This window comes from Homo sapiens, chromosome 4 (assembly GCF_000001405.40).
Source record: "Homo sapiens chromosome 4, GRCh38.p14 Primary Assembly".
NCBI lineage: Eukaryota > Metazoa > Chordata > Mammalia > Primates > Hominidae > Homo > Homo sapiens.
Genome location: NC_000004.12, coordinates 38494144 through 38506786, shown reverse-complemented (window position 1 = coordinate 38506786; position 12643 = coordinate 38494144). Strand labels below are relative to the sequence as shown.

Genomic DNA, 12643 nt, shown 5'->3' with positions numbered 1-12643 from the left:
ACCTTTTTTTGCTTAATGGAAACAAATTCTCTTTGAGAATATAACTTGGAATCATTCTCAAGTTTTCTTTTGTCCCTTCTACCTACATTGTCTATTTCTTCTGAGTTCCTTTTCCATTTCTTTGTTTCCTCGGTTTTTGGGCTCTATCTTTCATGTTTGCTTCTCAAATGTCTGATGATCCTTGGTTGTCCTTTTAGAGTTAAAAGTGAGGCACTAAAAAGCTAAACAAGCTCTGTGTATCTATCTGCACAGGATTTATTGATTTGTGGGATGGACCAAAAGGTGGCTAGATGGGACCCTGAGTGCCAGTATTTCTACATTTATTTTTTTAAATGGTAAGTTCTATAAAGTGGGGGAAGGCAGTTGTGGGTCTCATTGTTCAGAATGCACTTGGTACCCTTTTGACTTCAACAAGATGCTCCTGCTTCCCTTCTGTCCTCCACAGAACCCTCTGGTTTGGCTACTCTGGAGAATAAGCCTAGTGGGGGAGCTTCCTGACTCTTTAGGGTGAAGGTAGGCATCTGAGGATCTGACTACTGTTCATTACAATTTGAACCAATCCTAATATTCAGTCCTACCCTCACTACATAATTGCCAAGGGGGGCTTCCAGTTTCAGAGCCTTTCCAGGGTGCTGCCATCTGAGTTGGCTTGCTTTTTTGACACTTTCTCCTTGCCCTAAGATCCCACTTTCTTTAACTTTTCACTTTCATTTTCTTCGTCATTTTTTATTGGATGTCTAGAAAAATAAATTTATCAGTGGATGATAGAAAGAAGGGAGAAAAGGGGGCTTTGAAAGATTTACAAGGGAATTGACATTTTGACTGGTCTTGAAGAAACCCTTGGATTTTGATTATTGAAAGATTGGCTGGAATATTAGAATGTAGAGGGAAATTCTAGGTCAAAGAAACAGCATGAGCAGATAGGAATCAAAGTGATTTAGGTTAAATGGTTTCTTCACTCTAAGTCAGTTATCAATTTCACCATCACTTTCCATATGCAAAAATTTGTGCATCTCTGGCTCACTGGTGTCTCTTCTCCTATACTTTGGTCTTTTTCAAATTTTGATCCTTTTTAATACCTTTCAGTTTAGTGGGCCTTGGAGGTGGAGCAGTAGTAAGCGCATTTGTTTAACCCAGAGTTTCTCAACTGTGGTACTGTTGACATTTTGGGATGATGGTTCTTTGTTGGGGGGTCAAGGGGTGCTGTTCTGTGCATTGTAGGATGTTTAGCAGCATCTGGAACTCCACTCACTAGCTGCCAGTAGCTCCCACCCCCAGTTGTAATAGCCAGACAGGTCCCTAGACATTGCTGAATGTCCTTTGGAGGGGGACATCATCCAATATTATTGGATTAAAAACAGATTCATCAGTAAATGATGGGGAGAGAGGGGAAAAAAGGGGCTCTGACAGATTTATTAAGGAAATGACATTTTGACTTGGTCCTGAAGAATCAGTTGGATTTTGACTAGTGGAAGATTGGCTGTAGTGTTTGAAGGAAATTCTTGCTGAAAGAAATCACATAAGCAAATGAAAGCAAAGGGATTTGGGTTAAATGGTTTTCTATAATCCCAGTGTAGGTGCGTGTGATGGGGGCAAAGGCTACAAAGGTAAAAGGTGGGTTACGAAGGCCTTGGATGGAAACATATGGAACCTGGGTATTATACTGCAGTGATACGGTCACATTTTTTACTTTGAGCAATAACTCTAACTTTAGGAAGTAGAACCTAGGCCAGGTGTGGTGGCTCAGGCCTGTAATCCAAGCACTCTGGGAGGCTGAGGTAGGCAGATAACTTGAGGCCAGGAGTTCGAGACCAGCCTGGCCAACATGGTGAAATGCCATCTCTACTAAAAATACAAAAAATTAGCTGGGCGTGGTGGTGCACACTTGTAGTCCCAGCTACTCAGGAGGCCGAGGCAGGAGAATTGCTTGAACCTGGAGCTGGAGGTTGCAGTGAGCAGAGGTTGTGCCACTGCCCTTTAGCCTGGGTAACAGGTGGCAGAGTGACACTCTGTCGAAAAAAAAAAAAAAAAAAAAACAAGTAGGACCTGAGGACCTGAGTGCTGGCAGATCGTTGAGGTATCCATTGCGGTGGTGAGGGATGATGAGGCCTCACTGGGGCAATGGGAGTTGGAGATAGAAGCTTCAAGTGTCTTCATTTCTGTCATAATTAGTTAAAGGAACTGAAGAAGATCCAGTAGATAAATAATGGGTTAATAAAGCTTTCTGACATACATATTTGCACATTTAAAGAAAAACTGTGCCTTAATTCAAGGAAAGTACCTCATCAGTGGGATTTTCAGAAGGTGGATACCCTTATAACTACACCCATGAAACAACCGCCTACTTTATTGGTGTATTGTCAGCCTAGGATCCAGTTATAGCAATTGCCTATGAAAAATGGCATTGATGCTTGAGGTTAAAAAGGGAACTAATACTTCCTAATGAAGACCGTTTAAATTTGCATTAGATGGTGAGGTGGTCTAAGAAGAGCTGAAATGCTTTCAGAGGGAACATCTCTGCTTGCTACCCTTAACACCTCGGTTCCTAATCTTAGTAAGAGAAACGGAACTACCCTTTCGTCTCAGGTCTGCTTGGAAGATCAAGCCAATTTGGTTTGCTGACAGCTACTGCTGTTTCTTAAGGAAAAAAAAAAGTAATTGTAGAAACTGTCTTTGAATAATTTTGTTTTACAAGTAACAAATTCATTGACAGCAAAGAAGATGAGAGAGAGAAACAAAGAAAGAAACTGTTCAGAGATATTGGAATTTGGGGGATTAAAGAGGAGGTATTTATAGATGGAGACTTCCTAGAAGTAAAATAGCAAATAAAAAACTGAAACTGTGGTTGTCCCCCCAGGGGATAGGTGAGGTGCCCCCACCATAACGGGGGCAATTTCCCCCTCCCTACTTTCAATTTCTCCTTACTACCCTATCCTCTTAGTGAAATGATGGGGAAGCTTTGGTGTGACCTGAATACTTCCTAATTTGAGTAACATAAGAAAAAAGTACAGAAAGGAAATATGGTTTTAAGAGCAAAGGGAAACTGACTAAATGTGAAATCTTTAGTGACTATATTAACTTGGGAGTGTCCGTTTGAAATTCATTGTGCTAAAAGTTCTTGAAGACCCAGGTATCGAGATCCTCACATCTAGCAATGGAGTGAATCAGGCATGATTTGTGTGTCTCCATGTGATATCTTCAGCTTGGGTTTTATTTGGCTGGCTTCCCCCTGGAAGATGTGTCACATAATTGACAACTGCAGGGATAGAAAGTTTTTCTGTCGGCTGCGCATGGTGGCTCATGCCTGTAATCCCAGCACTTTGGGAGGCCGAGACGGGCGGATGACCTGAGGTCGGGAGTTTGAGACCAGCCTGACCAACATGGAGAAACCCCGTCTCTACTAAAAATAAAGATAAAAATAAATTAGCTGGGCATGGTGGCACATGCCTGTAATCCCAGCTACTAGGGAAGCTGAGGTAGGAGAATCTCTTGAACCCAGGAGGCAGAGGTTGCGGTAAGCCGAGATCGTGCCATTGCACTCCAGCCTGGGTAACAAGAGTGGAACTCCATCTCAAAAAAAAAAAAAAAAAAAAGTTTTTCTGTCAATATCAAACAGTGATATCATGTTTGAAGATTCTGGAGGTACAAAAAATAATGCTAACAGTGACTTGCTGCTTGAAAGGATAAAATTTTATTAGCTATTGGAATATATGTGTTAATTTCATATTATTTTCTCTGACCTAAACAGGATGTGACCATATACATTTTCTTTTTATTGAGATGAGGGCTCAGTCTGTTGCCCAGGCTGGAGTGCAGTGGTGTGATCATGGCTCACTGCAGCCTGGAACTCCTGGGCTCAAGCAATTCTCCTACCTCAGCCTCCAGAGTAGCTGGGACCACAGGCACATGCCACTGTGCCTGGCTAATTTTTTTTTTTTTTTTTTTTTTTTTTTTTTAGAGATGAGGTCTTACTATATTGCCCAGACCGGACACATTTTAACAAATGATTCTCAATCCAAGCTTGTTCTCTTTCCATACAAAATACCCAACACAATTCTAATGAAAGAGGTAGTTTTCTACTAGTTTTCTGTCCTAGTTTCAAAGTTCATCTTCGCTTTCAACTCCGCGAAAGCTTTTATTTTAGTGCACTATGCCATGTTAATGGTACAATGCTCTGCTCGTTGCAGTTGGGTGGAGGTATGATAGTGTACATCCGTAAACTGCCCAATGTGTGTTGGTTTTTGGTATTATAAGGGATTATGCCCATTGATATGTCTGTTTGCAATCATAGTTTGCCTATTGAAAAGGGTGCTGTTTTCTAAAAGCCACTAAGAAAAAAGTAAACCTTATATGAATTTGACTCAGGAAGAATAGAACAAATGTTGGCAAACTTTATCATGATCAACAATTGCTCTTTTAATGTTCTCTCGGTTGCTCTGAAGGAGAGTCATTAGTTAAATAAATAAGCTAAAGGATGAAAACCCTAATATCTACATGGACTCAATCTATGATTTGCTAATCATTGCTACAGTTTAGCTGAGTCGAGGACAGTGGTTTTGATAGATACCTCAAGGGAAGTAGTGTTGCCAGATGGCCAATGTCTTCCTTTATTCTTTAAAATTCTCTAATTTTTTTTTCTTTAAAATTCTCTAAATGTTAATCGTTCACTAAAATCAGTAAGCCTCTTGAACTGTGTTCTTGTTTTTGTGATAGAGTAGGGTGCCTGATGGGGAGAAGATCTTAACTTTTTGCAACCTGAAAAGCTGCCCTGTGGAGGATTGAGAAGTACTTTCTGCCTTTCTGATGAGCCTGTGATCTATTTTTGGTACAGACTGGTTGGGGAGGGGCTACTTTGTGGGACTACTTGGCAGGCCCAGATACCAACAATAATGGATGACTAGCGTTTAGGTGGTGCTCACCATGTGCCAGGCACCCTTCTAAGTGCCTTACCAATGTGCATTCATAGATTCCTCAAATGGCCCTATAATGCGGTATTCCTATCTTGTTGATGAGAAGACTGAGACACAGGAATATGAAATACACTTTCAAACCTAAGTTGTCTGATGCCAAAGTCCATGTTCCCAACATTGTGATTCCCTTTTAAATGATTTATGCCAGGGTAGACAGGGATGTGCCACTCAAAGGGACAAACATCAACCAGGACAGGCCTGTGGAATATGGAATTCCAGGGACTCACAGAAAGAAGTGGTCAAGGGTAAGACACAGGGAAGAGAATCTGGCACCTCCAATGTTTAAGCAACGTGATGATTCAGACTATTTGGGAATCGTTAAAGAATGGGGAGGTTAAGGGTATCTGAACTGTGTATGTTTTTGTAGTCTACAATCTGAACTAAGCTACTTATTTTTGGATGCAATTACAGGGGGTGATGGTGATCAATGTAGGAAAAGGGTACAATTTATTATTTAGTTTATTTACTTATTCAATACATATTTATGGAGTGTTTACTGTTCCATCTGCACCAGACAGCTACAAAAAGCTGAGGATGCTGTAGTATTCCATTGACAGGCCAAGCATCCCTGACCTGTAATTCTGGAGGCAGTCTCTCCTACAACAATAGTTACAGTACTTTCTGGGTGCCTATAACCACTATTCCCCACATCCTTTCAGGCCAATGAATTACTAATGTGCTAAGATGTTTAAAATGTAAGATACAATTATGGGACATAAGGTATTGTCTAAAACCTATCTAGGTTGTTGAGGGTAGGGAAATAAGAGGAATTACGACTTAGAATGTGGAGATGGTGCTTTATGTGCTCAGAAGAAAAAGGGCAAAAAAGGAAGGGGAGAGTCAATTAAATGCAGAGAAGGACCATTTATTGAATGTCTATTATAAGCCAGATCAATTTGCAGGTGTCGTCTTGTGTTATTCAACCAACAGTTCTGTGATATCTGTTATTATTTGTATTTTAGTTTTTTACAGACTCGACTGCGGTTACACAGCTGGTAAGCACTGCTAATTAAGTGGCAGAGCCTGGATTTTACTGCATACCTCAGGAGGGAATGAAAATTGGTACTTCCGCCTGAGGCACCTCCTAGGAATAGGAGGACCTTCCTTGGTACAGTCAGACTAGGCAAAAAGGGGATAGGAAAAAGGAAGCTGGGATGTCATAGATAATGATGGTTTCCAGATGTCAGATTCTTTTCTATTTTGGCAGAGGATGAGTCAGTAGGAAAGGGCCAGGGTGCCAGGACAAGGGGAAAGATTACCTCTGGGAGGGATAGGAGGGTGTAGCAGTTGGCAAGCCACCTAATGCTAACTGCAAATAATTTATGTAAAGTTTTCTACCATTTCACTTAATATCCCATTGGCCAGATCTTAGCCGCATGTCTGTACCTGGCTGCAAAGGAAGCCGGGAAATGTAGTCTTCATTCCGAGGGGCCATGTGCCTAATCCAAAATCAGAGGTTCTATCACTATGGGATCTGATGAGTGACTTTGAGTTGGTTAATTAACTTCTGTGTCTCACTCTACTTACTTTCAACTGTATCAAAAAAGAAAAAAAAAAAGCAAGGTCTTCAGATCCTTTTGTTTAATGGAAGCCATGAATATGAACAGTTCAAGAAGACCATCAGCCAGCCCTACTGATACCTGTGAATGCCATGCAAACTTTATTTTATAGGAGCTTCATACTGAGAGGGTCCTTTAATTGGGACACCATTATCCTTTAGAATAAACTGGTCAAGAGTGGTCTTATGTTTGGAAGAAGGAATTACGAATACTTCTTCCATTGTGAATGTATACTGTTCTTCTGATGATAGCACCTAGAACTATAACCATGTGGTAGATAAGAGCATGGCTTTGCAATTAGACAAAACTGGGTTAAACTCCAGCTTGGCTATGAAGCAGGTTAGGATATAGCTTGCTACATAAAAGAAACCTGAAATAATGGAGGTTTGAACAAGATAGAAAGCTATTTTTTTTTTTTACTTAACAGTCTGAGATAGGTGGCCTAGGACTGAGAGAGCTGCTCCACACTGCATGGCTGTCCAGGAACTTAATCTTGTTGCACTGTCCATAGGACGAGGTTTTCAAATGTAAGGTTCAAGATGCCTCATTTCTTCATCAACATTCCAAGTGGTGGTATGGAAGAGGGGAAAGTGGTGGTGGGGGAGCACTTTCTACTTAAAGGTAAGTCCAGGAAGTTACCCATACCATGCCATTTCACTTCATATCCCATTGGCCAGATCTTAGTCTCATGTCTGTACCTGGCTGCAAGGGAAGCTGGAAAATGTAGTCTTTATTCCGAGGGGCCATGTGTCTAATCCAAAATCAGACGTTCTGTCACTGTGGGATCTGATGAGTGACTTTGGGTTAGTTAATTAACTTCTGTGTCTCAGTTTCTGCCCCTGTAACATGGGATAATAAAAGTCTACCTCATAGAGTTGGTGTGGTGATTAAAGAGGAAAATATTCAAAGTACTTACTAAACACTCAGCAGAGATAGCTGTGATCCTTATTGGTTTACTGAGGTTGGGAGCATTTCCAGAACCATCTACCCAGCATTCCAGGACCCTAAGCTTGTCACTCCTTTTCTATGTAGGCTCATGTTTGAAACTTCTCAAGCAGAGGTGTCCAATATTTTGGGTTCCTTGGGGCACATTGGAAGAAGAAAAATTGTCTTGGGCCACACATAAAATACACTAATGATAGCTGATGAGCTAAAAACCAAGTTGCAAAAATATCTTATAATGTTTTAAGAAAGTTTACAAATTTGTGTTGGGCTGCATTCAAAGCCGTCCTCGGTCGCATGTGGCCCACAGGCTGCGGGTTGGACAAGCTTGCTCTAAAGGCCTTTGTGGTTAGAATTTAGCGACCAAAAAATTACCTACCAATAACGGAAAGCAAGAGGTCCATTCCACATAGTCCCCAAGAGAAAAAGAGTTGGCAGTGGCTATGACTCCTTTCCCCAGCCACCAGCTCATGAAGGATAGAGGTGGCTGATGAAGATGAGGAGCAGAGTTTGCCTTTATCTCTTGCTGCCCAGGTATGCCCAAGGCTTACCTTTCATCTCCAAAACCCAGCGCTCCAGTTTCAGGCTGAAGTATGCCAGCCTTTGTTTCCATTCTCCACAGCCTGGCCCCTGTCCAGTCCACCCCGGGAGCCAGTCACATTTAGATGGAAGTTAGCAATGAATGATTATTAGAAAACAATTTTTACAATTGCCCTGTTTTCTTTTTGCTGGATTTGCTTTCAGATGCTGGGTAATAATGCAGGTGCTAAGTCAGATGAGAAGACACTTCTTCCTTCCAGAAGTACATAGGTCTCAGAAACTTGTTAAGAATGTATTTGCACCATGAAGTGGCCAATCCATTTAAAAAGACCCTGTAAAATATCTGCCATTAACAGAAGTTACCTTAACCTCTCTGAGAGGTAATTCATGCTGTGGCTTATAAAATACCAGCTCTTTCCTTATGTGTGGCCTGAAAGACATTCTTTTGTTTCAGGGAGCCACAGATTTGCTGAATACCATCTACTCAAAGTCAGAAATCGTTTGTTGAAGGCCTACTGTGTGCCAAACACCTTAGCTCTCCCACCTTCTCAGAGTGGCATTATCTGCCTGCTTTGTGGATGAGCAAACTGACATGTAGCACAGTTCAACCTCAGAGTTCTGGGGTGATTCTCACTGCATTTCAAGATGTGTTTTCTTGCCCTGATTCCTCCTCATGGAAAGAATTATCTCTGTAACTTCATCACTATATCTGGCAGCAAAAAGAGAGAGCCCATGGTAGTTGAAAACAGGCATATATTTTAAATCAACAGGAGTTTGATACTCTTCTTCTTGGCTGTAAATCATCAAAGAATTCCTCAGCTGCAAGGGTTCCATTATTAACACAGAAAGATGCTAATAAAAGCTCTTATATACCAACATATATACCTCTCTCCCTTCCTCCCTTCCTCCCTCCCTTCTTCCCTCCCTCCTTCCCTCCCTCCCTTCCTTCCTTCTCCCCATTTTTCTTTGCTTCCCTTCTTTCTTTGGATGATGGAAACCACTGTGATTGCAATAAACAGCCTAAAGGTTTTAGGGTTTCAGTGAACTAAGATTTACAGATCACAGCTAATCACTAGTTTGTCCTTACTACAATAAACTTAATTGTTGCCCTCTGCGCAGTTAAGGGAACCAAAATGAATTCAACTCCACACTCTGGTTATCCACAGTGAGGTCCTGTGCCTTGACATGCATCACTTACAGTAAAAACTTTGGTTTTTCAAATTGATTCAATGTCCCTCAATTCCATCTGGAGAGTAGAAGTTGTAACGTAAAACAAAGACAACTCCAGTTTCTGCATAGAACAAAAGCCATGTGTGGAACTGAAGGCATTAGTTTTCAATGTAGCTTGTTTCCAACAACAGCTTTGGGAGTCTCCTTTTGTGATAGCAAGAAAAGTTAGCACAAGGAAGCATAGGTTCCCCTGCCAACCACTCAAATCCTTTAATCTTTTTATGTTGAATCTTTGCCACTGAAACCTAAGGAAATAAATTGGGTTAAATATAATAGTTATGCGTTACCATAGCCTGTTGCTAGGTGGGGTTTCAAAACAGTTTTTATTTCCAATATATGCCCTTTGATAATAGAATAAAATGACCCCTCTAGTAATTAGTAATGCTTTTCAACAATTGATCTCGCAGAAGAAATTGGCCTATTTTTGCAAGTGTGATTATGTTTCATATTAGTATTTCTTCATAGATACAGGGAAGATATTATAGACATGCAGAAATATACTTAATAACAAGACATGCAGAAATATTATACTTAATAACATAGAAACCAATAAAGCTCCAATTGGAAAGCTTCTCATTCTCCTGTTAGATTGAAAAAAACAAAAGCCTAGAGAACTATGGCACTAGGTATTTTTAATGGTTTGCTTATTAAAAAAAATGTCATATTTCTTTAAAGAAGTACAGAGCAGACCATAAAGGTTCTGGTAACTTGAAAAAACTGCAAAATTTCTAAGCTCACAGAAATTAGCTTTAACTATTTTCCTGGTAATTCTGAAAAAAAGAAGACCATATGATGTGGTAAAATAATAATAATAGTAAAGCAGCATCATTCAAGGAATGGGGAGAAACATTTTACTTTAATTGATTTTAATATCAAAAGGTTTGCAAGAAATGCTCATAATTTAAATTTTAGTAAAAGCAAAATACAAAATATTATGAGCCAAATGTTATAAAAGCTGGGAAAAATACATATAAAAAGATTAAAAGGATACATACTAGAATGTGAGCATTTGTTTCTCTGCATGTTGAGATTAATTATTGGCAATGCTTACATTCTTTATTCTTTTATGCTACTTTCCATTTCTACAGTGATTAGGTTATATTCTTTTTAAGAGAAATATATTATTTTTAAAAAACACAAATTAAAATAATGCAAGGCCTTCTCTGTCAGTAGAAATCAAACTGGAAAAAGGTAGAAAATAATGTTGCTTTGGGAAAGTCAAACTTTGGGTTTTATTATTTTTTTTCCTTTCTTTATTCCAGAGGTCAGCAAACTTTTTCTGTAAATGGCCAAGTATTTTGTGCTTTGTGGTTCATACGATGACTGTTGCAACAATTCCGCTCTGCCATTGCAATGCAAAAGTAGTTAGATCACACATAGTGAGTGGGCATTGTGTTCCAATACAATTTTAATTATTAATACAAATTTGAATATTATATAATTTCACATATTGTGAAATATTATTCTTTTTTTGACTTTTTTCCCCACTATTTAAAAATGTGAAAACCATTTATAGCTTATGGGTCATATAAAAACACATCATAGGCCAGATTTTGACCTCAGGCCACAGTTTGCCAACCCCTGCTCTATTCTATTATTCCACATTTTCCAGAAAATTAAAAAATATACATTATCTTTCAGTTTTCTGTTTAATAACATCAGAAAAATTTAAAATGGGTGCATGTGCTCAAATCACTCAGATTACAAAACACATTCCGGTGGGGAGGAACCAGGTTGGGTTCTACTCCTCTAACTAAAATCCTGAGTCTGTGGGGCTAGGTCTGCACTAGGTTAGAATTCCAATCATGCTGATGAAAACAAAGGGGCTCTTTCCATGAAAGCCTGGCAATTCCCTAGCTGTCAGTCACCACGCGGCTCCAGGTATCTGGCAACTGTTTCCACATTTTTCTGAGCCTTCACCAGGCTTTAGTGTGGAGGAGGCAATGATTCTCCCCTCTGGCTACCACAAGGGCTGAATTGGAGGCACTTTTCCAGGGGTATGCCTCAGAAGTAAACCCACACTGGTACCTTGCTGGTTCAAAGAGGATGCTGTTATATCCACAGGAGGTGGGTATACAAAGCCAGAGACCATTGCAGTTCAATGTTAGTGATCATGTGGTCCTTTTGAATGACTACTGTAAGCTGCAGTGATTCTGGGGTGGGAGGGAGTGGAGTTAGACCCTGCTTGTCTCTTTCAAGTGTTAGTGGACTGTTTTGTTGAAGTCTTGCTTATTCCTGGAGACTTTTATTATTGTTGCTTTTGTTATTTTTTTTTAATGCTTTTTTTGGTCTTTAACTCCTTCATTATCTGGTTCAGAAATGAACAGGTTCACCAAACTGCATTTAGTGGGAGGCCGAGGTGGGCAAATCACTTGAGGTCAGGAGTTCGAGACCAGCCTGGCCAACATGGTGAAACCCTGTCTCTACTAAAAATACAAAAATTAGCTGGGCATGGTGGCATGCGCCTGTGGTCCCAGCTACTCAGGAGGCTGAGGCAGAAGAATTGCTTGAACCTGGGAGGCGGAGGCTGCAGTGAGCTGAAATTGTGCCACTGCACTCCAGCCTGGGCGACAGAGTGAGACTCCGTCTCAAAAACAAAAACAAAAAACCCTCCAAATCGCATCTAGACAAGTCACAATAACCGAGGAGATAGGGACAGTGGGTGTCTTGGGGATGTGCACAGTCGTGGGAGATGTAAATGCCATAAAAACCCAACATAGAGGCGGAATCAAAGAAGGCAGAATGTGGAATTCAAATAATCAATCAATCAATCACAAAGCACTTATTAAATACCTATCATTTTCTAGATCTCTATGGTCCCTGTCGCATTTTATTTATCATCTATACTTATGATTGGACAGACACAGCGTGCTTCCAGGGCTGAGGGAAGGTCAATGGAGGAGTACAGGGAACATTTTCTTTTAATACAACTTTACAACTTAATGAAGACTCAAAATTTTGTTTATCAGAGGACGACTTTATTCAGATGACATAAGAGTACCTAATTAGGATCCTTTATTTGTGTAAGCAAGTGTCCTTTATTTGTATAAGGATGTGTTTCTTTTTCTTCCTTTTTTTTTTTTTTTTTTTTTTTTTTGAGATGGAGTCTTGCTCTGTTGCCCAGCTTGGGACTACAGGCACGCGCCAACACGCCCGGCTAATTTTTGTATTTTTTAGTAGAGATGGGGTTTCACCATGTTGGCCAGGCTGGTCTCGAACTCCTGACCTCGTGATCTGCCCGCCTCGGCCTCCCAAAGTGTTGGGATTACAGGCATGAGCCACTGCACCCAGCCTTGGAATTGTTTCTTAATAGTTTATGTTAAAAACCCAAAAGCATGTCTATAGATTTCATATTTTATTTGGTAGAGAAAGTCCCACTGTACAAGGCTGACTTTAAAGGAT

At 40.2% G+C, this 12643-nt stretch overlaps 1 long non-coding RNA gene across 1 annotated transcript in view; it reads left to right on the top strand.

The window, feature by feature from the left end:
* LINC01258 (long intergenic non-protein coding RNA 1258) overlaps positions 1-12643 on the top strand; it is a 102519-nt gene that overhangs the window by 16394 nt on the left and 73482 nt on the right. The gene's annotated exons all lie outside the window — the stretch shown is intronic.